This window comes from Homo sapiens, chromosome 19 (assembly GCF_000001405.40).
Source record: "Homo sapiens chromosome 19, GRCh38.p14 Primary Assembly".
NCBI lineage: Eukaryota > Metazoa > Chordata > Mammalia > Primates > Hominidae > Homo > Homo sapiens.
Genome location: NC_000019.10, coordinates 14,026,174 through 14,053,314, shown reverse-complemented (window position 1 = coordinate 14,053,314; position 27,141 = coordinate 14,026,174). Strand labels below are relative to the sequence as shown.

The following is a 27,141-nucleotide window of genomic DNA, read 5'->3' as shown; positions in this document are numbered from 1 at the left end:
TGGGAAATTTGAGGCTTAACCCTGCTACAGTCAAAGATTATGAATCAGTGAGAGTATAGATTGAGCTGCTGTAACAAAAAGACCTCAAAGCTACAGTAGCTATAAAAATATAAAAGTTTATTTTTCTTAGTGGTTCTATCCATGCAGTCATTCAGGGATTCAGGTTCCTTTTCATTTCTTGCTCCACCTTCCCCTTGGGTATGACCAAAGCTGGATCATAGGCATGTGTTATGTTCCAGCTCATAGGCAAGGAAAGGATGTGGGGGAGCCCCCACCCAGACCCCGTGTTGGCATATGTCACTTCTGACCACATTCTGTTGTCAAGAACTCAGTCCATGCTGCACCTGGATGCAAGGGAGCTGAGATGGTGCCCAAATGCAGTGTTTTTTCTTTTCTTTTTTTTTTTTTTTTGCTTTTTATTAGTTTGTTTATTTTTGAGATAAGGTCTCATTCTGTTACCCAGCCTGGAGTGCAGTGGTGCAATCAGAGGTCCCTGCAGCTTCGAACTCCTGGGCTCAACCGATCCTCCCACCTCAGCCTCCCAAGTGGCTCGGACTACAGGTGTGTGCCATCATGCCCAGCTAATTGTTTTTGTTTTTGATGTTTTATTTTTGTAGTGAGGGGTCTTGCTATATTGCCCAGGCTGGTCTCAAACTCCTAGCTCTAAGTGATCCTTCCACCTTGGCCTGCCAAAGTGCTGGGATTACAGGCGTGAGCCACTGTGCTGGGGTCCAAATTCAGTTCTGTTACAGCGGAACAGATTTTGGCAGGCAGCTGCCACTCTCAATTTCATGTATTTTCCTTTGCTCCACCTTCCATCCGTGTCTTCCCCATGGGGGCCAAGCCCTTCTCTATAGGGGTCCTTCAATCCCAGCTCTGCCTGGCTGGGTGTCCTCAGGTAAGTGACTCAGCCTCTCTGAGTCCTCAGTGTCTTCATCCATCAAGAGGGCTAATCCAGGACTGGGGTGCAACCTGCATGAGCATCCCTCTAGCCTGGCTGGCAGCCCCCAGCCAGACGTGTGGTTCAGGCCAGAACCTGTGGCCTGGGGGGCCCCAGAAGGCCCAGCTCCTCAGGTGTGGGCAGGAAGTGCTTCTCATACCCAGAGTCAAGCGGGGCGGTGGCCTGGGCGGGCTGGGAGGACTCCATAACCGGCGGGGGCTCCATCTCCTCCACTTCCAGGATGGGCAAGTCCCCAAGGGGCTGGGCCTCAGGTACTTGCTGGGAAGAGATGAGCCTGTAATCCTGCCCCAGCCTCCCCGACCCACACCTCACCCCCTCCCCACTGCCCCAGGACTCCCCAGTCCCCCAGAGGGCTCCGACTAGCCGGCCCTTTGACTCACCTCCATGTGGGGCTGGCCTGAACTGCTGTTGGCAGGATCAGGAACTTTCTCCCAGACCCAGCGGGGCAGCACTTTGTGCCTTAGGTGGTAGCACCTGGCAAGACAGGAGTAGTCAGGGCAGCAGATCCAGATGGCCAGATGCCCCAGCCCAGGGTGCAGGGTTCATGAATGTGACTGCGCCCTGAGGCCTCCCTTCAAGCCCCCTGGAAGCTCAGCAAAATGCCCAGCTGCCTTCCCCACGTGGGTAGAGATGCATGTATCCGACAGCCTCACCTTCCAGAGGTGGCCAGGCTCAGGCCACACCCCAACAGGAACAAGCCCCACAAGAATAGGATGCCCGGCAGAACTTTCCACCTCAGGGTGTTATCTGGTAGGGTAGGGAAGAGATCATTCTTAATTTTTTATTTTATTTTATTTTTTATTTTTATTTTTGAGACAGAGTCTTGCCCTGTCACCCAGGCTGGAGTGCAGTGGTGCGACCTCAGCTCACTGCAACCTCCGCCTCCTGGGTTCAAGCAATTCTCTCTCAGCCTCCCAAGTAGCTGGGATTACAGCCGCACGCCACCACGCCCAGCTAATTTTTGTATTTTTAGTAGAGATGGGGTTTCACCACATTGGCCAGGCTGGTCTCGAACTCCTGACCTCAACTGATCCACCCGCCTCGGCCTCCCAAAGTGCTGAGATTACAGGCGTGAGCCACTGTGCCTGGCAATTCTTAATTTTTTAAAGACAGGGTCTTGCTTTGTTGCCCAGGCTGGAGCGCAGTGGTGTAATCCGTGTACTGCAGCCTCCAACTCCTGGGCTCAAGCGATCCTCGAGCCTCAGCTTCTCCAGGAGCTGGGACCGCAGGCGCATGCTACCACATCCAGCTAATTGTTTTATTTTTTGTAGAGAAGGGGGTCTCACTATGTTGCCCAGGCTGGTCTCGAGCTCCTGGGCTCAAGTGATCCACCTGCCTCAGCCTCCCAGAGTGTTAGGATTACAGGGGTGAGCCACTGCACCTAGCTTCCAAGTAATGACTCCAGATGCTACCTCTCCCCACTGTGGAGTACATCCCCTCCCTGTGGCAATCCCATCCCAACCCCCCTACCTGGTAGATGAAGCCGGAGGATGGGACCAGGAGGGCCCTGTCCAGCGATGGTAGATGCTGTCACCCACAGCTCACAGGGACCCCAAGGAAGGTCAGGCAGGGTGACACTCTGTGTGTTGCCACTCACTGGAGAACACAACCAAAGAAGTTGGGGAGGTGGTCAAGCCTACCACAGGGCCTTTGCATGTGCTCTTCCTGCTGTCTGCAACACTCTCTCCCAGGTATCCACATGGCTCCCTCCTCATCTCTTTTAGGTCTTTGCTCAAAGGTCACCTCTTCCGTGAGGCTTTCCTTGACCCCGCTCTATTTGAAATTGCACCCCCTTCACCACCCACCTTCCTTGTTTGATTCTCTTTTTTTTTTTTTTTTTTTGACATGAAGTCTCGCTCTGTAACACTCTGTTGCCCAGGATGGAGTGCAGTCATGTGATCTCAGCTCACTGCAACCTCTGCCTCCTGGGTTCAAGCAATTCTGCTGTCTTAGCCTCCTGAGTAGCTGGGACTACAGGTGCCCGCCACCACATCTGGCTAATTTTTATATTTTTAGTAGAGACTGGGTTTCACCATATTGGTCAGACTGGTCTCAAACTCCTGACCTCAGGTGATCTGCCCACCTCGGCCTCCAAAAGTGCTGGGATTATAGGTGTGAGCCACCTTGCCCAGCCCCTTGCTTCATTCTCTACTCAGCACTTATCACCATCTCATACACTGCTTAGATATTATTTAGTTTGTCTTTGCATGATCTTGGCTCACTGCAACCTCCACCTCCCGGATTCAAGCAATTCTAGTGCCTCAGCCACCTTCTGAGTAGCTGGACTACAGGCTGTGCCACCATGCCTGGCTAATTTTTGTATTTTTAGTAGAGATGAGGTTTCACCATGTTGGCCAGGCTGGTCTCGAACTCCTGACCTCAAGTGATCTGCCTGCCTTGGCCTCCCAAAGTGCTGGGATTACAGGCGTGACCCACCATGCCGGGCCTTCTATATATATTTTTAAAATTATATATAGGCCGGGCGCAGTGGCTCACACCTATAATCCCCGCACTTTGGGAGGCTGAGGTGGGTGGATCACGAGGTCAGGAGTTCGAGATCAGTCTGACCAACATGGTGAAACTGTCTCTACTAAAAATACAAAAATTAGCCGGGCATGGTGGCATGCGCCTGTAATCCCAGCTACTCAGGAGGCTGAGGCAGGAGAATTGCTTGAACCTGGGAGGCGGAGGTTGCAGTGAGCTGAGATCGTGCCATTGCACTCCAGCCTGGTGACAAAGCGAGACTCTGTCTCAAAAAAAAAAAAAAAAAATGGAACCATACCACGGAATTTTAACATCCTTTTATCTTTTTCACTAATAAAATATGACAAGCATCTTTCAATGTCAATAAATATAGATTGGCATCCTCATTTTTAATGGCCGAATGAAAGCTCGTTACATTGATAGCCAAGAGGGAATTGAGGACACCATGTATGGTCCCTGGGCCAAAGAGGCCCACGTGGGGACAAGGGGTGGGGCTGACTGATGGGTGGGTCTTGTGGGGGCTGGGAGGACAGGTCAGCAGGCAGGGAAGCTCACCATTCATGCAGACGGAGGGGCTGGTTCCACTCTGTGCACACAAGGTGTAGTGGGTGAGGTGGCCTCGAAGCTGGTGCCTTGGGACCTCTCCCCACGCTATGGCGGGGGTCCCTGGAGGGGCATCTTGGAGTCGCCAAAGCGTTGGCCCCACTAGGGGTGCTGGGGAGGAAGGCAGTAGGTCAAGGTCGGCCTGGGTTACAGAAGCCCCCCCATCCTCCAGCCCCACTCTTACCTAATTCCTCCCTGAACCCCCAGACGGAGGATGCAGAGGCCAAGCCTGAAGCAGAGACTGCGGTCACAGTGATTCGATAGGGGACCCCGACAGTGAAATTCCCTGAGTGACAAAGAAATAAAGACCAGTTAGAGTTGGCTCTCCTTCCCATGCTCATTTCCTAGGTGTCTTCACTGGGGTCCCCAGAAGGACACCCTGAGATAAGGATCTGACTGTAAGTCATTTATCTAGGAGGTAATCCCAGAAAACCCCAATAGGGCAGTAGGGGAGTGAAATGGGGAAGGAACAGGTTCTCACTGTGGACAACTGAGACGCAGTCCCATGGGGGACCTCTAGGGGCCAGCAGAGAGCAGGCATCGCAGAGTCAGCCCAGCTCAGGGGGACGGAGCTGGGGTATTTATCCACCAAGCCTCATTAGTCATGCTGAGGGCTGTTCCTGAGGGCTCTTCTCAATATTTCCATCTTGCTTCTCAGGCAGGCAAAATGCCTCAGTGACCAGAAAAAGCCCTTAGGCCAGGAAACAAGTGTGGGCAGCTGGGAGAGAGGCCTAAAACCTCTGAGGTGGTCAAACAGATATGAGCAGGCAACTGACAGCACCTACCATGGTAGCTGAGGGTGCTGCACTCTCTCCCCTAAACCCTATCACATCCACATAGCCTTCCCCAACTGGGAATTTTCCATAATTGGGCCTTCGCTTCTTTGGTTCATATATCCTTGTGGGTCTTGGGACTGTGTCCTAAATTTCTTACCCAACATCTTCACAGTTCTTCCAAGTTCATTAATTAATTAATTTATTTATTTATTTATTTATTTATAAAGATTTCTTGCCAGGTACCGTGGCTCATGCCTGTCATCCCAGCACTTTGGGAGGCCAAGGCAGGTGGATTGCCTGAGCTCAGGAGTTCAAGAACAGCCTGGGCAACATGGAGAAACCCCACCTCTACAAAAAATACAAAAACTGGCTGGGCTTGGTGGCGCATGCCTGTAATACCAGCTCCTCAGGGCGCTGAGGTGGGAGGATTGCTTGAGCCATGGAGGTCGACGCTGCAGTGAGCTGAGATCACGCCACTGCACTCCAGCCTGGCTGACAGAGTGAGACTCATCTCTTAAAAAAAAAAAAATGCCGGGTGCGGTGGCTCATGCCTGAAATCCCAGCACTTTGGGAGGCTGAGGAGGGCAGATCACGAGGTCAAGAGATCGAGACCATCCTGGCTAATATGGTGAAACTCCGTTCCTACTAAAAATACAAAAAAAAAAAAAAATTAGCCGGGCGTGGTGGCGGGCGCCTGTACTCCCAGTTGCTCGGGAGGCTGAGGCAGGAGAATGGCGTGAACCCAGGAGGTGGAGCTTGCAGTGAGCCGATATCGCACCACTGCACTCCAGCCTGGGCGACAGAGCAAGACTCCAAAAAAAAAAAAAAAAAAAGGGCCAGGCATGGTGGCTCACCCCTGTCATCCCATCATTTTGGGAGGCCAATGCGGGTGGATCTCTTGAGGTCAGGAGTTTGACACCAGCCTAGCCAACATGGTGAAACCCCGTCTCTACTAAAAATAAAAAAATTAGCTGGGCATGGCGGTGGGGGCCTGTGATCCCAGTCACTCCCCAGAGGCTGAGGCACGAGAATCGCTTGAACCCGGGAGGTGAAGGCTGCAGTGAGCTGAGATCACACCATTGCACTCCAGCCTGGGTGACAGAGCCAGCCTCCATCTCAAAAAAAAAAAAAAGAAAAGTTAGGCTGGGCATAGTGGCTCATGCCTGTAATCCCAGCACTTTGGGAGGCCAAGGCAGGCAGATCACTTGAGGTCAGGAGTTGGAGACCAGCCAAACCAACATGGTGAAACCCCGTCTCTACTTAAAAAAAAAAAAAAAAAATTAACCGATTGTGGTGGTACGCTCCCATAGTCCCAGCTACTCGGGAAGCTGAGTCACGAGAATCACTTGAACCCAGGAGATGGAAGTTGCAGTGAGCTGAGATGGCACCATTGCACTCTAGCCTGGGCCACAGAGTGGGATCTTGCCTCCAAAAAGCAAAAAAAAAAGTCTTGTGTGAATTCACGCTATTTATTTATTTATTTATTTATTTTTTGAGACTGAGTCTCACTCTGTCACCCAGGCTAGAGTGCAGTGGCGCAATCTCGGCTCACTGCAACCTCCACCTCCCAGGTTCAAGCGATTCTCCTGCCTCAGCCTCCCGAGTAGCTGGGACTACAGGCATGTGCCACCACGCCCCACTAATTTTTGTATTTTTAGTAGAGACGGGGTTTCACTATGTTGGCCAGGCTGGTGTCCAACTCCTGACCTCAGGTGATCCGCCCCTTTCGGCCTCCCAAAGTGCTGAGATTACAGGCATGAGCCACCAAGCCCGGCCATCACGCTACTTTAATCATAGCACTCCCTCTTACAAGTCCACCCATCCGTCTGCTCTAACAGCGGGGATGGAGACCCAGGTGTCCCAGGGCCTCACCTGGTAACAGAGCACTGAGGTTCCCAGGGGGAAGCCGGACCCAGTTGAGTTTCTCCAGGGGGTCCCCATCTCGAGCCCAGTCCACTACATGCTCCAGTGGTTCCCCAGGCCCCGGTTGCCAGGTCACCAGTAGCTCCGTGCTCCCAGCGATGCTGCTGACTGCCACGCTACGGGGGGCAGAGGCTGAATCTGGAGGGTGGAGAGAAGTCTCAGCTGCCCACTCAGGAAGTCACTTCCCACCCCTCCAGGGCACCGAGCTGAGGAAGGTCACAGTCTCTTACCCAAGCAGACCAAAGAGAGGTTGGTGAGAGGCTCCCAGCTTGTGGCGTTGACAGCGGACACCCTGGCCCACTCCGCCCCACTGGGAATTAGGGAGCAGCAGCAGGTAATTCCTTCTGGACTCAGCTCACGACCTCCAACCCAGAACCAGACTTTGTAGCTCACCTGCACACAGGGCCCTGGGGCCTGAGAGATGAAGGGAAAAAGGGGTTAATGTCTCCCATTAATCACGCACATATATGTGTCTCCCTGAGGTCACCTGATAAACCACCGGTCAGTGAAGCATTTTTTGTTTGTTTGTTTGTTTGTTTTTTGAGACGGAGTCTTCATTCTGTTACCCAGACTGGAGTGAAGTGGCGTGATCTCGGCTCACTGCAACCTTCACCTCCCGGGTTCAAGCGATGTTCCTGCCTCAGCCTCCTGAGTAGCTGGGATTACAGGCGCCTGCCATCACGCCCGGCTAATTTTTGTATTTTTAGTAGAGACGGGGTTTCACCATGTTGGCCAGGCTGGTCTCAAACTCCTGACCTCAAGTGATCTGCCTGCCTCAGCCTCCCAAAGTGCTAGGATTACAGGCGTGAGTCAGCAAACCTGGCCAGGTGCAAAATTTAAAAGGGAGTGGGGGATACCAAAAACCCAATAAGTGAGATAAATAATATTTTAATGCAGTATTGTAATAAATGAAAATTAATGCCTAAAAACCCATGACAAACAAAATATCAACTTTTTTTTTTTTTTTGAGACAGAGTCTCGCTCTGTCGCCCAGGCTGGAGTGCAGTGGCGCCATCTCGGCTCACTGCAAGCTCTGCCTCCCGGGTTCACGCCATTCGCCTGCCTCAGCCTCCCCAGTACCTGGGACTACAGGCGCCTGCCACCACGTCCGGCTAATTTTTTGTATTTTTAGTAGAGACGGGGTTTCACATGTTAGCCAGGATGGTCTTGATCTCCTGACCTTGTCTCTTAAAAAAAAAATCCGCCCGTCTCGGCCTCCCAAAGTGCTGGGATTACAGGCGTGAGCCACCACGCCCAGCCATCTTTTTTTTTTTTTTCTTTTTGACATAAGTTCTCACTATTGTACAGGCTGAAGTGCGGTGGTGCAATCATAGCTCACTGCAGCCTCAACATCCTAGGCTGAAGTGATCCTCCCACCTCAGCCTCCCCAGTAGCTGGGACTATAGACGCATGCCACCACACCCCGCTAATTTTTTTTTTTTTTTTTGGAGACAGAGTCTCATTCTGTCACCCAGGCTGGAGTGCAGTGGCGCAATCTGAGCTCACTGCAACCTCCCCGGGTTCAGGAGATTCTCCTGCCTCAGCCTCCTAAGTAGCTGGGATTACAGGTGCCTGCCACCACGCCCGGCTAATTTGTGTATTTTTAGTAGAGATGGGGGTTTCACCATCTTGGCCAGGCTGGTCTTGAACTCCTGACCTTATGATCCACCCGCCTCGGCCTCCCAAAGTGTTGGGATTACAGGCTGAGCCACTGTGCCCGGCCCCTGGTAATGTTTTATTCTCTGTATAGATGGGTAGCTTGCTATGTTGCCCAGGCTGGTCTCGAACTCCTGGCCTCAAGTGGTCCTCCTGCCTCAGACTCTCAAAGTGCTGGGATTACAGGTATGAGCCACCCACTCGGTCCAAAATATCAAGATTTTAAAGTAAAAACAGGATTTGATCCTGCACCTGTGTGACCCTACCCTGCTCACCTCCCTAACCCTGGTCTTGGTTCCAATCAAACTGTATTTCTGAAAACAGGCAGTTGGTCCTTGAACTCTAGTTTGCTGATTTAATTTTTTAAAATATCGGCCAGGCACGGTGGCTCACACCTGTAATCCCAGCACTTTGGGAGGCCGAGTGGGCAGATCACCTGATTTCAGGAGTTCGAGACCAGCCTGGCCAACATGGTGAAACCTCGTCTCTACTAAAAATACAAAAATTAGCCGGGTGTGGTGGCGGGCGCCTATAATCACAGCTACTCAGGAGGCTGAGGCAGGAGAATCGCTTGAACCCAGGAGGCGGAGGTTGCGGTGAGCCAAGATCGCCCCATTGCACTCCAGCCTGGGCAACAAGAGTGACACTCCATCTCAAATACATAAATAAATAAAAGATACTGGATTGTGTGGTCTAAGAAGGTGGAAAACCACACCTGTCATCGTGTTCCTTTGCTTATTTACTGAGAGCAAGGGTCAAGCAATGCCACCTGGCACATAGCAGGTGCTTCACAGATTTGAATCAGTGAGGATAATTGCACCTTGTCAGCCATTTTATAATACCTTTTTTTTTTTTTTTTTTGTGAGACAGAGTCTTGCTCTTGTTGCCCAGACTGGAGTGCAGTGGCTCGAGCTCAGCTCACTGCAACCTCCACCTCCCAGGTTCAAGCGATTCTCCTGTCTCAGCCTCCTAAGTAGCTGGGATTACAGGTGCCTGCCACCAGGCCCAGCTAATTTTTGTATTTTTAGTAGAGATGGGGTTTCACCATGTTGGCCAGGCTGGTCTCGAACTCCTGACCTCAAGTGATCTGCCCACCTGAGCCTCTCAAAGTGCTGGGATTACAGGCATGAGCCACCATGCCCAGCCTATTAATACCCTTTTGATACTAGCATTTAAACTCTTAGCACAGGCCAGGCGCGGTGGCTCCCGCCTGTAATTCCAGCACTTTGGGAGGCCGAGGTGGCTGGATCATGAGGTCAGGAGTTCAAGGCCCCCCTGGCCAAGATGGTGAAACCCCCATCTCTACTAAAAATACAAAAATTAGCCGGGCGTGGTGGGGGGGCACCTGTAATCCCAGCTACTTGGGAGGCTGAGGCAGAGAATGGCTTGAACCTGGGAGGTGGAGGTTGCAGTGAGCTGAGATGAGATGACGCTGCTGCACTCCAGCCTGGGCAACAGAGCGAGACTCCATCTCAAAATAAATAAATGAATAAATAAACTCTTAGCACACTGTGTTATATTTTCTGGAGCTGAGCTCCAGTCTCGCTGTCAGGTTTTTGCATCTGCTGCCCCTGCCCGGAATATCTGCACCCATCCTTATGGCTCAGACCTCTCGGAAGCAGCTGACATTGGTGGAGACTTGCTCCATGCCCCACCCTGTGCTGACCACTTTAGCAACCCATCCTTGAATCTTCGAAGCAACCTCAAGGGGGCAGCATGGTAAACTCTGTCTTGTTTATGTCATTGGGTTTTGTTTGTTTTTTGTTTTGGAGACGGAGTTTCACTCTTGTTGCCCAGGCTGGAGTGCAGTGGTGTGATCTCGGCTCACTGCAACCTTCACCTCCTGGGTTCAAGTGATTCTTCTGCCTCAGCCTCCAGAGTAGCTGGGATTACAGGCGCCCACGACCACTCCCCGTGAAGTTTTGTATTTTTAGTAGAGATGGGGTTTCACCATGTTGGCCAGGCTGGTCTCCAACTGCTGACCTCAAGTGATCCACCCTCCTCGGCCTCCCACAGCAGTGTTGGGATTACAAGCGTGAGCCACTGCATCCGGCCTTATGTCATTGTTATTTAGGGGTTTCCTAACACGTGCAGAGAAATGTAACTGGTGCCTGAAGCTCACCTTCCATAGAAGCAAAGGTTCCTCTCCTCCAGGCGTCCCACAGAGGTTCCCTGATACCCACACATCTTTTGGAGCTGGCAAGGATGAGGAAACGGGGAACAAATGAGTGGGACATGATTGGACAGACTTCTGGGGGTGGGAGGGGCGTGGATTGAGGGCAAGCCCAGATATCCTCACCAGAAGGCGGTGTCTGGAAGGACAAAATGGGGCTCCACTCGCCCCACAAATCCTCTTCTTTCTCCATCCGGCAGCGGCCATACACTTTGTAGCCAGTGGCTAGCTCCAAATCTTGGATCTCAACAGGGGTCAGGGGTATGGTCTTCAGCTCCGGTTCCAGCTGGGGGAGAGACAGGCGAGCGTGATGGGCCCAGGGCCTGAGTCAAGGGTATTTGAACTTATCTTTTTTTTTTTCCTTTGTTTTTCGTTTTGAGACAGTCTCGTTGTGGCCCAGGCTAGAGTGCAGTGGTGTGATCTTGGCTCACTGCAACCTCTCCCTCCTGGGTTCAAGCAATTCTCCTGCCTCAGCCTCCTGAGTAGCTGGGATTACAGGCACCCACCACCACACCTGGTTAATTTTTTTTTTTTTTTTTTTGAGGCAGAGTCTTGCTCTGTCGCCAGGCTGGAGTGCAGTGGCACGATCTCAGCTCACTTCAACCTCTGCCTCCTGGGTTCAAGCGATTCCCCTGCCTCAGCCTCCCAAGTAGCTGGGATTACAGGCACGCGCCACCATGCCCAGCTAATTTTTTGTATTTTAGTAGAGACAGAGTTTCACCATGTTGGCCAAGATGGTCTCGATCTCCTGACCTCGTGATCCGCCCGCCTCGGCCTCCCACAGTGCTGGGATTACAGGTGTGAGCCACCAAGCCCAGCCAATTTTTGTATTTTTAGTAGAGACGGGGTTTCACCATCTTGGCCAGGCTGGTCTTGAACTCCTGACCTTAGGTGATCTGCCCACCTCGGCCTCCCAAAGTGCTGGGATTAGAGCTACTGCGCCTAGCTGGTACTTGAACTTATCTATCAGCAGAGTGAGCAACCATTTGTATTTGCCCAGGACCAAGGGGGTTTCCAGAACATGGGCCTGTCAAAAAAATTGCCACAGTCCCGAGCAGACAGAGAAAAGGTGGTCACTCTATGTGCTAGGTATAGCAGGAAGTGGTAACTTCTATTATTATCTCGTTTTACAGACGAGGGAACTGAGGCCCAGAGAGGGAAAGTGACTAGCCCAAGGTCACAGAGCTGGTGTGCTGGAGCTGAGCACTGAGGTAGTCAGATTCCAAAGTCTGCATCTCAGCCGGGTGAGGTGGCTCACGCCTGTAATCCCAACACTTTAGGAGGTGGAGGTGGGTGGATCACCTGAGGTCAGGAGTTCGAGACCAGCCTGGCCAAATAGCGAAACCCCATCTCTATTAAAAAAAATACAAAAACTTAGCTGGGCATGGTGGCACATGCCTGTAATCCCACCTACTTGAGGGGCTGAGGTGGGGGAATCACTTGAACCTGAGAGGTGGAGGTTGCAGTGAGTTGAGATGGCACCACTGCACTCCAGCCTGGGCAACACAGTGAGACTCCGTCTCAAAAAAAAAAGGGGGCCGGGTGCAGTGGCTCATGCCTGTAATCCCAGCACTTTGGGAGGCCCAGGTGGGTGGATCACCTGAGGTCAGGAGTTCAAGACCAGCCTGACCAACATGGAGAAACCCCGTCTCTACTGAAAATACAAAATGAGCCGGGCATGATGGCACATGCCTGTAATCCCAGCTACTCGGGAGGCTGAGGCAGGAGAATCGCTTGAACCTAGATGGTGGAGGTTACAGTGAGCCGAGATCATGCCATTGCACTCCAGCCTGGGCAATTAAGAGCAAAACGCCATCTCAAAAAAAAAAAAAAAAATTCTGCATCTCAGTGTTGCTCTGAATTGCATGAATAATCACAATTCTGAACTCTTCTTCTTCTTTTTTTTTTTGAGACGGAGTCTTGCTCTGTTGCCAGGCTGGAGTGTGGAGTGCAGTGGCACGATCTCAGCTCACTGCAACCTCCACCTCCTGGGTTCAAGTGATTCTCTCCTGCCTTAGCCTCTCAATTAGCTGGGACTACAGGCACCCACCAGCACGCCCAGCTACTTTTTTGTATTTTTAGTAGAGATGGGGTTTCACCATGTTGGCCAGGCTGGTCCCGAACTCCTGACCTCAGGTGATCCACTCTCCTTGGCCTCCCACAGTGCTGGGATTACAGGTGTGAGCCACCGCACCTGGTCAGATTATTTTTTAACTTCTTAGAGACGAGTCTTGCTATCCTGCCCAGGCTGGTCTCAAACTCTTGACCTCAAACAATCTTCCTGCCTCAGCCTCCCAAGGTGCTGGGATTTTAGAAATGAGCCACTGTGACCGGGTGATAGATTATTTTGGCAGGAGAAAAAAAATTTTTTTTTTTTGAGACTGAGTCTCACTCTGTAGCTCAGGCTGGAGCACAGTGGCCCAATCTCAGCTCACTGCAACCTCTGCCTCTCGGGTTCCAGTGATTCCCCTGCTTCAGCTTTCAGTAGCTGGGATTACAGGCGCCCACCACCATGCCTAGGTAATTTTTGTATTTTTAGTGGAGATGGGATTTCACCATGTTGGCCAGGCTGGTCTCGAACTCTTGACCTCAAGTGATCCATCCCCCTCAGCCTCCCAAAGTGCTGGGATTACAGGCGTGAACCACCGTGCCCAGCCATGGGAGGAGAATTTGTAGCTGAACAAGAGGCACATGCAGGCATTTTGAGTGGGAGGCATACAGGCTCAGGGGCAGGCACAGAATGAGTCCTGGGCTGGGTCTCAGATTAGGAGATGTTGCCTCAGTCCCCGCCCGGAATAGGGTGGGGAGAAAAGGACCCCAGCACTCACCAGGGTCCAGGCCGCCTCCTGACATCTTCGGTAGTGGAACTGGCAGATCAGAACTTTATGAGATGGCCATGTAGGTGGGGCCCAATGGACAGTGGCCTCCAGGGGGTCATCCTCGGAAAAGTCCACGTCAGGGCCCAGCCGGGGGGCGTTTGGCTTCACTGGGGAAGGGGAAACTAGGGTGTAGTGAGCCACGCCCTCCAAGAGCACCCACCCCGCATAGAGCGCCCACCCTCCTGCCACGTTACTTTGGGTTTCTAGGTTCACGAAGACGGGGGGCCAGAGAGGCTGGCCTGCCTTAGTGCCCCAGACAAGGAGTTTGTCAGACATGGTGAGCTGTTCCCGAGGAATGGCCACCCAGCTCCGTCCGGCTGCCACTGCCACAGTCTGGGTTTTGTTGGAACGGCTGTGAGGAGAGAGGCGGGGATGAGATGCACACTCGGCTAGAGCCAGGGCCACTGATAACCACCCTTGTGCCAACAGAGTGGCTGCAGCCTGCTCTGCTTGGGTTCAAATCCCACCTCTGCTGCTTCAGAGCTGTGTGACCTTGAGTAAGTGACTTAACTTCTCTGTGCATCAGTTTCCTCATCTACAAAATGAGGGTAATAAAAGTAACTGCTCTTTTTCTTTTTTTTTTTTAAGACAGTCACCTAGGTTGGAGTATAATGTCGTGATCTTGGCTTACTGCAACCTCTGCCTCCTGGGTTCAAGTGATCCTCCCACCTCATCCTCCCAAGTAGCTAGAATTATAGGCGTGTGCCACCACACCTGGCCAATTTTTTTGTGTTTTTAGTAGCGATGGGGTTTCACCATGTTGGCTAGGCTGGTCTCGAACTCCTGACCTCAAGTGATGCACACACCTCGGCCTCCCAAATTGCTAAGATTACAGGCATGAGCCACCATACCTGGTCATAACTGCTCTTTTCTCTCTCTCTTTTTCTTTCTTTCCTTCCCTTCCTCTCCCTCTCCCTTCTTTCCTCCCTCCCTCCCTTCCTTCCTTGCTTTCTCTCTCTCTTTTTTTTTTCTTTTGAGACAGATTTTTGTTCTTGTTGCCCAGCTTGGAGTGCAATGGTGCGATCTTGGCTCACCGCAACCTCTGCCTCCCAGGTTCAAGCGATTCTCCTGCCTCAGCCTCCCTAGTGGCTGGAATTACAGGCATGCGCCACCACTCCCGGCTAGTTTTGTACTTTTAGTAGAGACAGGGTTTCTCCATGTTGGTCAGGCTGGTCTCGAACTCCCGACCTCAGGTGATCCGCCTGTCTCGGCCTCCCAAAGTACTGGAATTACAGGCGTGAGCCACTGCGCCCGGCCCTTTCCTCTCTCTCTTTTTTTTTTTTTTTTTTTTTAGAGACACGACCTCACTCTGTAACTGGAGCAGTGCGATCATAGATCACTGCAACCTTGAACTCCTAGGCTCAAGCAATCCTCCTGCCTCAGCCTCCAGAGTAGCTGGGATAACAGGTGTGCATCACAATGTTCAGCTAATTTTTAAATTTTTTGTAGAAATGGGGTCTTGCTATGTTGCCCAGGCTGGTCTCCTCTAACTCTTGGCCTCAAGCAGTCACATACTGAGACCCCCATGTCTACAAAAAATGTTTTAAAAATTAGCCAGGGGTAGTGGCGCGCACTTGTGGTTCCAACTACTTGAGAGGCTGGGGTGGGAGGATCGATTGAGCCCAGGAGGTTGAGTTGCAGTCATGCCACTGCACTCCAGCCTGGGTGACAGGATAAGACCCTGTCTCAAAAACAGCAACAAAAGCACCATATATAGAAAGAGAGAGACAGGCCAGGTGCAGTGGCTCACGCCTGTAATCCTAGCACTTTGGGAGCCCGAGGCAGGTGGATCACGAAGTCAAGAGATCGAGACCATCCTGGCCAACACGGTGAAACCCCCGTCTCTACTAAAAATACAAAAATTAGCTGGACGTGGTGGCACGTGCCTGTAATCCCAGCTACTCGGAAGGCTGAGGCAGGAGAATCGCTTGAACCAGGGAGTTGGAGGTTGCAGTGAGCCGAGATCGCACCACTGCACTCCAGCCTGGCAACAGAGCAAGACTCCATTTCAAAAAAAAAAAAAAAGAGAGAGAGAGCGAGAGGGTCTCACTCTGTTGGCCAGACTGGTCTCGAACTCCTGGCCTCAAGCAATCCCCCGCACCATCCCCCTTGGCCTCCCAGTGTTGGGATTACAGGTGCAGGGACATCACGCCCAGCCTGAGGAGACATTTGAATAAAGGCCTGAAGGAGATGAGGACAGAACCATGCAGTAGCTAGAAGAACAGCATTCCAGGAAGAGGAAACACAGGGTGCAAAGACCTGGAGGCCAAACTGTGCCTGGTGTGTTTAACAAATAGTAAGAAGGGGCCAGGCGTGGTGGCTCACGCCTGTAATCCCAGCACTTTGGGAGGCCGAGGCAGGCGGATCACTTGAAGCCAGGAGTTGGAGACCAGCCTGGACAACATCGTGAAACCCCATCTCTACTAAAAATACAAAAATTAGCCGTGTGTCCTGGCAGACGCTTGTAGTCCCAGCTACTTGGGAGGCAGGAGAATCACTTGAACCCGAAAGATGGAGGTTGCATTGAGCTGAGATTGCTCCATTGCCCTCCAGCCTGGGCAACAGAGTGAGACTCTGTCTCAAAAAAAAAAAAAGTAAAAATAAATATATAAATAAGGAAATGAAATCAGTTTGTCCAACGGACGTGTCTTCCCAATGCAGCACTATTCACAACAGCCAATATATGGAATGTGTCCATCACCAGATGTATGGATCAAGAATATGTGGGGCCGGGCACGGTGGCTCATGCCTGTAATCCCAGCACTTTGGGAGGCCAAGGCAGGCAGAGTTCGGGTCAGGAGTTCGAGACCAGCCTGACAAACATGGCGAAACCCCGTCTCTATTAAAAATACAAAAATTAGCCAGGTGTGATGGCGCATGCCTGTCATCCCAGCTACTCAGGAGGCTAAAGCAGGAGAATCGCTTGAACCCTGGAGGCAGAGGTTGCAGTGAGCTGAGATCACGCCATTGCACTCCAGCCTGAGCGACAGAGCGAGACTTTGTCTCAAAAAAAAAAAAATGTGGTATACATACACGATGGAATACTATTCAACCTTAAAAAAGAAGAAAATACACTGTGCGTGGTGGCTCACGCCTGTAATCCCAGCACTTTGGGAGGCCGAGGTGGGTGGATTACTTGAGATCAAGAGTTTGAGATCAGCCTGGCTGACATGGTGAAACTCGGCTCTACTAAAAATACAAAAATTAGCCAGATGTGGAGATGCGCACCTATAATCTCAGCTACTCGGGAGGCTGAGGCACGAGAATCGCTTGGACCGGGGAGGCAGAGGTTGCAGTGAGCTGAGATCGCGCCACTGCACTCCAGCCTGGGTGACAGAGCCAGATTCTGTCTCAAAAAAAAAAAAAAAAAGGAAATCCTGTCATTTGTAACAATGTGGATGGAAATGGCGAACATTATGTTACGTGAAATAAGACACGGAAAGACAAACACCACATGTTTTCATTGATACGTGGAATCTAAAACATCTGAACTCCTCCTAGAGGCAGAGTAAACTGGTGACTACAGAGGCTAGGGGGAGAAGATGATGGCCAAAGAGTACAAAATCTCAGGCTGGGCATAGTAGCACCTGTAATTCCATTATTTTGGGAGGGCAAGATGGGAGGATCGCTTGAGCTCAGGAGTTTGAGACTACCCTAGGCAACAGAGCAAGACTCTGTCTCTACCAAAAAAATTATTTATTTATTTACTTTTAAAATTATTCTTACTTTTTTCCCTCCTCTTCCTCTTCTTCTTCTTCTTCTTCTTTCTTTTTTTTTTTTTTAATAGAGACGGGTCTCACTACGTTGCCCAGGCTGGTCTCCAACCCCTGGGCTCAAGCCATCCTTCTGCCTCGGCCTCCCAAAGTGCTGGGATTACAGACGTGAGCTACCACTACAAAAAATTTTTAAAAATTAGCTGGTCATGGTGACACATTCCTGTAATTCCAACTACTGGGAAGGCCGAGGAGGGAAAATGGCTGGAGCCCAGGAGTTTGAGGTTGCAGTGAGCTATGATCGCACCGCTGCACTCTAGCCTGGGTGACAGAGCAAGACCTCTTCTCAAAATAAATAAAATCAATACATAAATCAATAAAACTAAAATAAAAATAGAAAAGATGTGGCTTCTCTGACTCCCCCTCCCTGTACCAATTAAAACTAGGCCCCCCGCCAGGCTCAGTGGCTTCTGCCTGTAATCCCAGCACTTTGGGAGGCCCAGGTGGGTGGATCACCTGAGGTCGGGAGTTCGAGACCAGCCAGACCAACATGGAGAAACCCCATCTCTACTAAAAATACAAAATTAGCCATGCGTGGTGGCGTGTGCCTGTAATCCCAACTACTCTGGAGGCTGAGGCAGGAGAATTGCTGGAACCCGGGAGGCGGAGGTTGCAGTGAGCCGAGATCGCGCCATTGCACTCCAGCCTGGGCAACAAGAGCGAAACTCCATCTCAAATAAAAAAAAACTAGGCCCCCTTCTGGAGGTGAATGGTAACCGGGATAGCACCATGGGAATGTACTTAATGCCACTGAACTGGACACTTAAAAATGGTTAAGATCGTAGATTTTGGCCAGGCACAGTGACTCACGCCTGTAGTCCCAGCACTTTGGGAGGACAAAGGAGGTGGATCTCTTGAGGCCAGTAGTTCGAAAGCAGTCTGGGCAACATGGTAAAACCCTGTGTCTACTAAAAATATATATTTAAAAAATTAGCTGGGCATGGTGTTGCATGCCTGTAGTCCCAGCTACTTGGGAGGCTGAGGTGGGAGGATCACCTGAGCCTGAGAAGTCGCTGCAGTGAACTGACTGCCCCACTGCACTCCAGCCTGGGCAACAGGAGTAAGACCCTGTTCCCAAAACAAATTTTTAAAAATATCGTTAAGTTTTATGTTGTATGAATTTTTTTTTTTTTTGAGACGGAGTCTCGCTCTGTTGCCCAGGCTGGAGTGCAGTGGCGCGATCTCGGCTCATTGCAAGCTCTGCCTCCTGGGTTCACGCCACTCTCCTGCCTCAGCCTCCTGAGTAGCTGGGACTACAGGCGCCAGCCACCACGCCCAGCTAATTTTTTTGTATTTTTAGTAGAGACGGGGTTTCACCGTGTTAGCCAGGATGGTCTCGATCTCCTGACCTCATGATCCACCGCCTCGGCCTCCCAAAGTGCTAGGATTACAGGCTTGAGCCACCGCGCCCGGCCTTTTTTTTTTTTTAGACAGAGTCTTGCTCTGTCACCCAGGCTGGAGTACAGTGGCGCGATCTTGGCTCACTCCAACCTCTGCCTCCCGAGTTCCAGCGATTCTCCTGCCTCAGACTCCCAAATAGCTGGGGCTACAGGCATGTGCCACCACGCCTGGCTAATTTTTGTATTTTTAGTAGAGACGGAGTTTCACCATGTTGGCCAGGCTGGTCTGCAACTCCTGACCTCAGGTGATCTGCCTGTCTCGGCCTCCCAAAGTGCTGGGATTACAGGCGTGAGCCACCGTGTAGGGCCTGTTGTGTGTATTTTAACCATTAATATTAAAAAGAAAAAAAAATCCAGGACCTCTGTCTCCCATTCTTATCTTTCATTGACTCTTTTCCTCTTCCCTCACTTAGCCCAATTTGAAATTATGAGTTTCCAGGTATGATTCATCATGAAGAAACACATGGAGTCCTTGGACTGTGGGCAGGGCTTTCTGTCTACCTCTTTCACTGCAGCATCCCCAGCACCACACTGAATAATCTTTTAACATGCTCAGAGAGGTTAAGTGACTTGCCTAATGTCACACAGCAATAAAAACCAGGTTCACATTATGAAGCAACTTTCTCCTTGCCAAGCACCTAACTCTTTGAATCCTCAGACTTAACCTTCGGAGGCAGGTTCTGTTATTATTTCCCTTTTTTATTTTTTATTTTTAGTGTTTTTGAGATGGAGTCTCGCTCTGTCGGCCAGGCTGGAGTGCAGTGGTGCGATCTCAGCTCACTGCAACCTCCACTTCCTGGGTTCAAGCAATTCTCCTGCCTCAGCCTCCTGAGTAACTGGGATTACAGGCATGCACCACCACATCGGCTAATCTTTGTATTTTTAGTGGAGACAGGGTTTCACCATGTTGGTCAGGCTGGTCTCGAACTCCTGACCTCGTGATCTGCCCGCCTCGGCCTCCCAAAGTGCTGAGATTATAGGCGTGAGCCACCACGCCAGCTTTTATTTTTTAAAATTTTTTTGAGACAGAGTCTCACTCTGTCACCCAGGCTGGAGTGCAATGGCACGATCTTAGCTCACCGCAACCTCTGCCTCCTGGGTTCAAGTGATCCTCCCACCTCAGCCTCCCGAGTAGCTGGAATTACTACAGCTGGTCTTGAACTCCTGACCTCAAGTAATCTGCCCACCTCGGCCTCTCAAAGTGCTGGGATTATAGGTGTGAACCACTGCGCCTGGCCTATTTCCCTTTATTTATATTATATTTTATATTTTTAAGAGACGGGCTCTCGGCCAGGCACGGTGGCTCACACCTGTAATCCCAGAACTTTGGGAGGCTGAGGCGGGTGGATCACCTGAGGTCAGGAGTTCAAGACCAGCCTGGCCAACATGGTGAAACCTCCCCCCTCTACTAAAAATACAAAAATTAGCCAGGCATGGTGGCACATGCCTGTAATCCCAGCTACTCTGGAGGCTGAGGCAGGAGAATCGCTTGAACCCAGGAGGTGGAGGTTGCAGTGAGCCGAGACCACACCATTGCATTCCAGCCTGGGCAACAAGAGTGAAACTCCGTTTCAAAAAAAAAAAAAAAAAAAAGTGACGGGCTCTCTAAAACTCTGAACTCCTCCTGGGCTCAAGCGATCCTCCCGCCTCGGCCTCCCAAAATGCTGGGATGACAGGTGCAAACCACCTCTCCTGGCCCTATGATTGCTATTTAATAGAGAAATGAAAAGGAGACTCAAAGAGGGAAAGTGACTTGCCCAGGGTGACACAGCAAAGAAACGAGGGAAGCTAGAATTGAAGGAGTGGAGGAGTATTGGGGGAGGGGGGCAGACTCCTGGGACTTTCTTTTCTTTTCTTTTCTTTTTTTTTTTTTTTTTTTTTGAGACAGAGTCTCCCTCTGTCCCCCAGGCTGGAGTGCAGTGGCGAGATCTGGGCTTACTGCAACCTCCGCCTCCCGGGTTCAAGCGATTCTCCTGTCTCAGCCTCCTGAGTATCAGGGACTACAGGCGCGCGCCACCACCCCTGGGTAATTTTTTTTTTTTTTTTTTTTTTGTATTTTTAGTATAGACAGGGTTTCACCATGTTGGCCAGGCTTGACTCCTGGAACCTTTCAACCAAAGCAGCCTGGGGCCTGAGCGGCCACCTCCAAAGCCTGTTTCCCCACGTCACCTCCCTGTACTCACTACTTTTGGCTCTGGAGGTGTAACTCGGAGGGGGCTCCCAGGTCCCCAAGAGGCTCCCACGAGCAGTTCAAGTCGCCCAAGGGTCCAACTCCGTAGCACTGCAGTGGCCCGGCGCTGCCTGGAGAGGGAGTCAGAGGGTCTCAGGAAAGGGGGTCGAATCCCCCCCTTCCGCCTGCACACCCCAGAACTTGGACTTCTGACAATTGCAAGGTGGGGGGGCTTAGGGAAATGAGCAGCAGGAAGGGAGGCGCTAGGCACCCCTGCCCGGGCTCCGTGCAAACCCCCCCTTTCCCTGTGCTCGCCACATCCTGTTAACCACCCAGAGAGCTCCCCCACCCCGCCCCGGGGCTCCGGTTCGACCTCGCTGCCGCCCATTCCCCAGTGTCGCCGGGTCCCTGCCCCGGGAGGAGCCGAGTGGCGCCTGCACCTCTACCGTTCGCTCTGCATACGCGTGGCTTATCCTGGAGCACTGGCGCCTTCGCGGGGAGCGCAGCGGCAGCGCCCGGGACACGAGCTCCCTCCAGCACTCACCCTGGGGACGCGTCCGCTGGAAAAGCACCCACAACAGAGGCAGCAGCGCCAGCTTGGGCAGCGGCCACAGCCAGAAAGGGGCGCCCCTGCCTCCCCGCATGGCGTCCCTCGGGAGCCCCGAGTCCGGCCCAGCCTTGCCGGGTCCGCGCGGCCGCGCTGCTCCTCTTCGAGCTCTGGGTACAGCGCCCGAGGCGGCAACGGGAAGCCGAACCACCCCGGCAGGCCGCCTCCGCACCTTTCGCTCAGGGTCCCCGCCCCTTCCCCGCGACGGAAAGTCCCCGGCTGGGGCTGCTTGAGGGGGAGTGGGGAGGCGGCCTGGGCGTCTGGGGGTGGGGGCCTCCGAGGGGTGGTACCGCGTACCGCGCATCCCCGAAACCTGTCCTACGCCCAACAACCATACACACACACACACACTCTCTGCCAAAGTCTTCGAATTTTTATTATTGGAGTTTGGGAAGATTCGAATGTGCCCAGAGCTCTCCTAGGGGGGCCACCTGCCACCTTCTCTGGGGTCCACAGCCTTGGAACTCTGGCAGGGGAGTTGGAGGGAGAGGGGATGGAAAGCAGGGCAAAGGAAGCGTGCGTGCAAAGGCTGGACTGAGACAGAGGCTTGATTTTAGCTGGTCAGGGGACAATGGCCACAGTTTGGACTGGGAAGGGGGCAGGGGTCTCTGTGTGGCCAGCCTAGGTAGAGTAGGGACCCAGTTGTGGCAGTGGAGTGTGTAGGCCAGGCAAACGCATGGTTAGGGCTGGGGAGAGGTCAGGGGTCAGGATGGGGGGGTCCCCACTTGACCAGGCAGGGGCACAGCTTCCTTAGGGGCCAGGGTCATGATAGGCTGGTCAAAGGGCAGGGTTGGATAGGTGGTGTCGGGAGACTGTGCCTGAGCCCACAGTGCCTCTGTGACTTGTAGATGAATGAATGAATGTGTGAGGCTCGAAAGACAGGTGCCCAGCCAGACACTAGTTGAGTGGATGGCAGGACTGGGGCATTGGTCCTGGTGCCCACGGCTGCCCAGCCCTCAAACTAGCAAAGGCTACTGATTTCACTTTTGCTACACCCCCACTTGCAGCAGCTGCTGGAAAGGCCAGCCAGGACATCTCGGCTGCCCCGAAGAACCCCAGGGGTTCCTTGCCAGCTGGGTCGCCCCCTGTAAAAGGCCTGGGGTGACTTGGTCAGGGCCAGCCACTCGCTGGACCCCATGGCCTCATCCAGCTCGCCTGCCAGACTGTCTTCATCAGCATCTGCATCCGGGAAGGTATCTCCTGCAAAAGATGAACAGAGTTAGTGATCAGGGCTCAGCTGCTGCTGCACCCACAGTCATGGCTCCTGGCCAGTCTAGCTCTGATCTTGTGACAACAGTCATAGACATAGTTCAGAGTTTTTATTCCACCCAGTCCTGGGTTCAAATTCTGGCTCTGCCAGAGTAGGTGGGATTACAGGTGTCTGCCAGCAGGCCTGGCTGATTTTTGTATTGTTATAGAGATGGGGTTCACCATGTTGTTCAGGCTGGTCGCAAACTCCTGACCTCAAGTGATGTGCCCACCTCAGCCACCCAAAGTGCTGGGATTACAGGCGTGAGCCACCGCACCCAGCCCTGTCATTTATTTCTCCTTACTCTTTATTAATTGAGGACCTGGTACATTTGGGAGCTGGGCTGACTGAGCATGAATCCAGCTTCTCTAATCGTGAGCAAGTAAATTTACTTCTTGGAGCCTCAATGTTCTTTTCTGCAAAGTGGAAAAAAATAATTACTCCAACCTTCTCAAGTTTTATAAGGAGTTAATATTCATTAAAAAAAAAAACTTAGAACAATGTCTGGAACATGATGAGCACTCAAAAATGACTATTGAGTCCGGGCACGGTGTCTCACACCTGTAATCCCAGCACTTCCAGGGGCACATGCTGGAGGATCACCAGAACCAGGAGTTCAAGAACAGCCTGGACAACACAGCACTACCCTGTCTCTACAAATAATAAAAAGTTAGACATGTTGGCACAAGCCTGTAGTCCCAGCTACTCAGGAGGCTGAGGCAGGAGAATTGCTTGAGCCCAAGAGGTTGAAGCTGCAGTGAGCTGTGATCACACCACTGCACTCCAGTCTGGGCAACAGAGCAAGACCCTGTCTCAAAAATAATAATAATAATAATAATAATAATAATAATAATTTATTGATCACTTACTTTGTGTCAAACAACGTTTTAAGTGCTTTAGCAGGTTAACTTCTTTATTCTTCTCAGTGATAACCAGTTGAGGTGGGTGCAGTTATCACCCGTATTTTCCAGAGGAGACCACTGAGGCAGGACTCAGTAAAGAATTTGCATGGCTGGGCGCGGTGGCTCATGCCTGTAATCCCAGCACTTTGGGAGGCTGAGGTGGGAGGATCACCTGAGGTCAGGAGTTGGAGACCAGCCTGGCCAACATGGTGAAACTGTCTCTACTAAAAATAAAAAGATTAGCGAGGTATGGTGGCACACATCTGTAATCCCAGCTACTTGGGAGGCTGGAGGCACGAGAATCGCTTGAACCCAGGTGATGGAGGTTACAGTGAGCCAAGATTGCACCACTGCACTCCAGCCTGGGCAACAGAATGAGATTCTGTCTCAAAAAAAAAAAAAATAGTAGCACATGAACACACAACTATTACATTGTAGAGCTACTATCTGAATCCAAGTGGTGTGTCTTCTATGTCCACGCTCATACCTATCCTCCTTCTCACCATCATGAATATCTATTTGCCAGGTCCCTGCCCCTCATGAAGCTAGGTCTTCTGTTCCCTCTGACTCTCCTGATGGATCCCAGATTGTGCCGCTGCCCTGCTGAGACTCTGCCCTAATCTGTTTTGATTTAATCATACCACTTAATCCTGCAAGATTCAGGAACTGTGTCTCCCATTTGAAGATAAAGACACTCAGAGACTCTAATCTCAGCACTTAGGGAGGCCGAGGTGGGAGGATCACTTGAGCCCAGGAGTTCGAGACCAGCCTAGGCAACATAGTGAGACCCCTGTTTCTACAAAAAAAAAATTTAAAACTAGCCAGGCATGGTGTCAGGTGCCTGTGGTCTCAACTACTCTGGAGGCGGAGGCAGGAGAATCACTTGAGCCTGGGAGGTCGAGGCTGCAATGAGCAGTGATTGGGCCACTGCATTCAAGCCTGGGCAATGGAGTGAGACCACATCTCCAAAAAAAAGACACTCAGAGACGGAAGAAAAACCAACTTGCTGGGGAGAGGTCATGCATTAGGTGACAAACCCAGCTATGTGTATACCACACCCTTCACATTACCTGCTGGAAAGGGTTGGAAAACACTTCGGTGTTGTCTTTGCAAATGGCACGCTCCCCGCCCCCACCTGTCCTCAGACTTCCAGCCCCCATGGATGGCTTGCAACACCCCATCCCAGCTCTGCAGCTCTGCTAACTCCTGAGCCCTTGTTTCAAGGCTGGGCAGGTGTCCCTGGCTGAATGTGGCAGGACAGGGACCCTCCTCCTCCAGCAACCTCCTCTTATCTCTGTCCTTAGCTCCTGGGACCCATCCAGCCACCTGTTCCCCTTCTACATCCACTCTCTCCCCAGCCTCACCCATAGCCTCGTGGGCCAGGATGTCTGATCGTCTCCACCGGGAGCCCCCGCAGGTGAAGATGACTGCTCGGATGAATTCTCGGCCGCAAAGCCTGACCCCGTAAGGCGCTGCCCGGGCCTCAGCTCCCGGCCACAGCTCCCCGGTCAGCACCCATACCGCCAGGAGCAGCAGCAGCATGTACCTGGCCATGCTGGACGGAGATGCTTTGAACGTGAGAGTGGGCCAGTGTCTCTGCTGCCTCTTGGCCCCCCATTTATACATCGTGGCTCCCCCACACTCTGCCTGAAGAAAGCTGAGTGCCTCCCTTATCTTCTCCAGCAGAGGGGAGACAGGCACGGCCCCCCCAACCCGACCTTTCTCATGTCCCCAGCGAAGTGATAACCTTTCGCTAGGGACAGGGTGATGTGGCCCAGCTTATTGTCAACATCATTGACAGAGAGGCGAGAAGGTCTCCAACCTGCAGAGACCAGAAACGCATAATCCCAAAAGGCGGGGTAAGGTGACACAACCAGATCCCCACAACGTTAGGGTCCTGGACCTCTTCGAAGATCATAATAGCAGTGAACGCCCAGTGCAGTATGTGCTACGAGGCCAGGCACACTACTGTAAGCATTTTATTGTTTATTTGTTTGTTTGTTTGTTTAGATGGAGTCTCGCTCTGTCACCCAGGCTAGAGGTACAGTCCCAATGGCACAATCTTGGCTCACTGCAACCTCCGCCTCCCAGATTCAAGAAATTCTCCCGCCTCAGCCTCCCAAGTAGTTGGGATTACAGGCGCCCACCACCACACCTGGCTAATTTTTGTATTTTCAGTAGAGACGGGGTTTTACCACGTTGGCCAGGCTGGTCTCGAACTCCTGGCCTCAGGTGATCCGCCTGTCTCAGCCTCCCAAAGTGCTGGGATTACAGATATGAGCCACAGCCCTCAGCTGCTCAAAGCATTTTATATCTCTGTAATGTATTTGATTCTCCCAACAACCCAGGGTAATGGTTCTCAAATGTGAGTGAGCTTCAGAATCTTTGGGTAGGCTTGTTAAAACAGAAATCAGGCCAGGCGCGGTGGCTCACGCCTGTAATCCCAGCACTTTGGGAGGCCATGGCAGGAGGATTACCTGAGGTCCGGAGTTCGAGACCAGCCTGGCCAACATGGTGAAACCCCGCCTCTACTAAAAATACAAAAAATTAGCCGGGTGTGGTGGCTCATGTCTGTAGCCCCAGCTCCTTGGGAGGCTGAGGCAGGAGAATTGCTTGAACCTGGGAGGTGGAGGTTGCAGTGAGCTGAGATGGCGCCACTGCACTTCAGCCTGGGCAACAGAGTGAGACTCTGTCTCAAAAACAAACAAACAAAACACATATCTTTGTGTCCTACCTGCAGAGCTCCTGACTCAACAGGTATGGAACATATCTAAGAATCTGCATTTCCAACCAGTTCCCAGGTGACATTGATCCTGCTGGTTCAGAAACCAGACTTTTTTTTTTTTCTTTTTTTCAGAGACAGGGTCTGGCTATGTTGCCCAGGCTGGATTGTAGTGGTGGCAACATAGCTCACTGCAGCCTTGAATTCCCGGGTTCAAATGATCCTCCCACCTCAGCCTCCTAAGTAGCTGGGACTACAGGTGTGTACCACCATGCTCAGCTAATTTTTGTATTTTTTGTAGAGATGAGACCTCACAATGTTGCCCGGGCTGGTCTCAAACTCTTGGACTCAAGGGACCCAAATGCGTCAGACTCTCGAAGTGCTGGGATTGGCTGGACACAGTGGTTCACACCTGTAATCCCAGCACTTTGGGAGGTCGAGGCGGGTGGATCACCTGAGGTCAGGAGTTTGAGACCAGCCTGGCCAACATGATGAAACCCTGTCTCTATTAAAAATATAAAAATTAGCCGGGCATGGTGGCGGGTGCCTGTAATCCCAGCTACTGAGAAGGCTGAGGCAGGAGAATCGCTTGAACCCAGGAGGCAGAGGTTGCAGTGAGCCAAGATTGTGTCATTGCACTCCAGCCTGGAGCACCACGCCCAGCCCAGAAACCACAGTTTCTTTCTTTCTTTTTTTTTTTTTTTTGAGATGGAGTCTCGCACTGTCGCCCAGGCTGGAGTGCAGTGGCATGATCTCGGCTCACTGCAAGCTCCCCACTTCCCAGGTTCACGCCATTCTCCTGCCTCAGCCTCCCGAGTAGCTGGGACTACAGGCGCCCGCCACCACGCCCGGCTAATTTTTTG

At 51.8% G+C, this 27,141-nt stretch overlaps 2 protein-coding genes across 3 annotated transcripts, besides 6 other annotated features; both read right to left on the bottom strand.

Annotated features, from left to right (window-relative positions):
• Nucleotides 1-96: 96 nt before the first annotated feature.
• Nucleotides 97-21,553, bottom strand: IL27RA (interleukin 27 receptor subunit alpha). Its single transcript, NM_004843.4, has 14 exons — nt 21,343-21,553; nt 20,812-20,929; nt 13,650-13,807; nt 13,405-13,562; nt 10,703-10,862; nt 10,526-10,599; nt 6,978-7,161; nt 6,697-6,885; nt 4,233-4,334; nt 4,001-4,159; nt 2,432-2,557; nt 1,615-1,708; nt 1,342-1,435; nt 97-1,219 (listed from the first exon to the last, which is right to left on the bottom strand). The coding sequence occupies exons 1-14, from the start codon at nt 21,440-21,442 to the stop codon at nt 1,025-1,027; spliced, it is 1,911 nt and encodes a 636-aa protein (NP_004834.1). The 5' UTR covers nt 21,443-21,553; the 3' UTR covers nt 97-1,024.
• Nucleotides 9,996-10,496: an enhancer, noted in NCBI's record as "H3K27ac hESC enhancer chr19:14153631-14154131 (GRCh37/hg19 assembly coordinates)". NCBI's record gives its function as "activates a minimal SCP1, AML or CMV promoter by ChIP-STARR-seq in primed H9 embryonic stem cells {active_cell/tissue: H9 hESC(primed)}" and the evidence as "EXISTENCE:reporter gene assay evidence [ECO:0000049][PMID:30033119]".
• Nucleotides 21,335-21,384: a silencer, noted in NCBI's record as "silent region_10225". NCBI's record gives its function as "represses an Ori minimal core promoter by ATAC-STARR-seq in GM12878 lymphoblastoid cells {active_cell/tissue: GM12878}" and the evidence as "EXISTENCE:reporter gene assay evidence [ECO:0000049][PMID:35858748]".
• Nucleotides 21,395-21,514: a silencer, noted in NCBI's record as "silent region_10224". NCBI's record gives its function as "represses an Ori minimal core promoter by ATAC-STARR-seq in GM12878 lymphoblastoid cells {active_cell/tissue: GM12878}" and the evidence as "EXISTENCE:reporter gene assay evidence [ECO:0000049][PMID:35858748]".
• Nucleotides 21,525-21,574: a silencer, noted in NCBI's record as "silent region_10223". NCBI's record gives its function as "represses an Ori minimal core promoter by ATAC-STARR-seq in GM12878 lymphoblastoid cells {active_cell/tissue: GM12878}" and the evidence as "EXISTENCE:reporter gene assay evidence [ECO:0000049][PMID:35858748]".
• Nucleotides 21,645-21,774: a silencer, noted in NCBI's record as "silent region_10222". NCBI's record gives its function as "represses an Ori minimal core promoter by ATAC-STARR-seq in GM12878 lymphoblastoid cells {active_cell/tissue: GM12878}" and the evidence as "EXISTENCE:reporter gene assay evidence [ECO:0000049][PMID:35858748]".
• Nucleotides 21,764-25,167, bottom strand: RLN3 (relaxin 3). Of its 2 annotated transcripts, NM_001311197.2 has the most exons (3): nt 24,921-25,167; nt 22,959-23,070; nt 21,764-22,605 (listed from the first exon to the last, which is right to left on the bottom strand). In NM_001311197.2, exons 1-3 carry the CDS (start codon nt 25,108-25,110, stop codon nt 22,578-22,580), a joined length of 330 nt encoding a protein of 109 aa, NP_001298126.1. In that variant the 5' UTR covers nt 25,111-25,167; the 3' UTR covers nt 21,764-22,577. The 2 variants fall into 2 exon arrangements, with proteins under 2 accessions (NP_001298126.1, NP_543140.1); NM_080864.4 differs by lacking the exon at nt 22,959-23,070.
• Nucleotides 24,341-24,390: an enhancer, noted in NCBI's record as "active region_14152". NCBI's record gives its function as "activates an Ori minimal core promoter by ATAC-STARR-seq in GM12878 lymphoblastoid cells {active_cell/tissue: GM12878}" and the evidence as "EXISTENCE:reporter gene assay evidence [ECO:0000049][PMID:35858748]".
• Nucleotides 25,168-27,141: the final 1,974 nt, after the last annotated feature.

What these genes read in the sequence shown, in the direction of transcription:
- IL27RA (NM_004843.4), bottom strand. Translation starts at nt 21,442, where the DNA reads ATGCGGGGAGGCAGGGGCGCCCCTTTCTGGCTGTGGCCGCTGCCCAAG. An exon ending in CCTCTCTTTGGTCTGCTTGG is followed by an intron (nt 6,886 to 6,977) that starts GTAAGAGACTGT and finishes TCCACCCTCCAG; the next exon opens with ATTCAGCCTCTGCCCCCCGT. An exon ending in AGCCTGGCCACCTCTGGAAG is followed by an intron (nt 1,436 to 1,614) that starts GTGAGGCTGTCG and finishes CTGTCTTGCCAG; the next exon opens with GTGCTACCACCTAAGGCACA.
- RLN3 (NM_080864.4), bottom strand. Translation starts at nt 25,110, where the DNA reads ATGGCCAGGTACATGCTGCTGCTGCTCCTGGCGGTATGGGTGCTGACC. An exon ending in CCTGGCCCACGAGGCTATGG is followed by an intron (nt 22,606 to 24,920) that starts GTGAGGCTGGGG and finishes CATCTTTTGCAG; the next exon opens with GAGATACCTTCCCGGATGCA.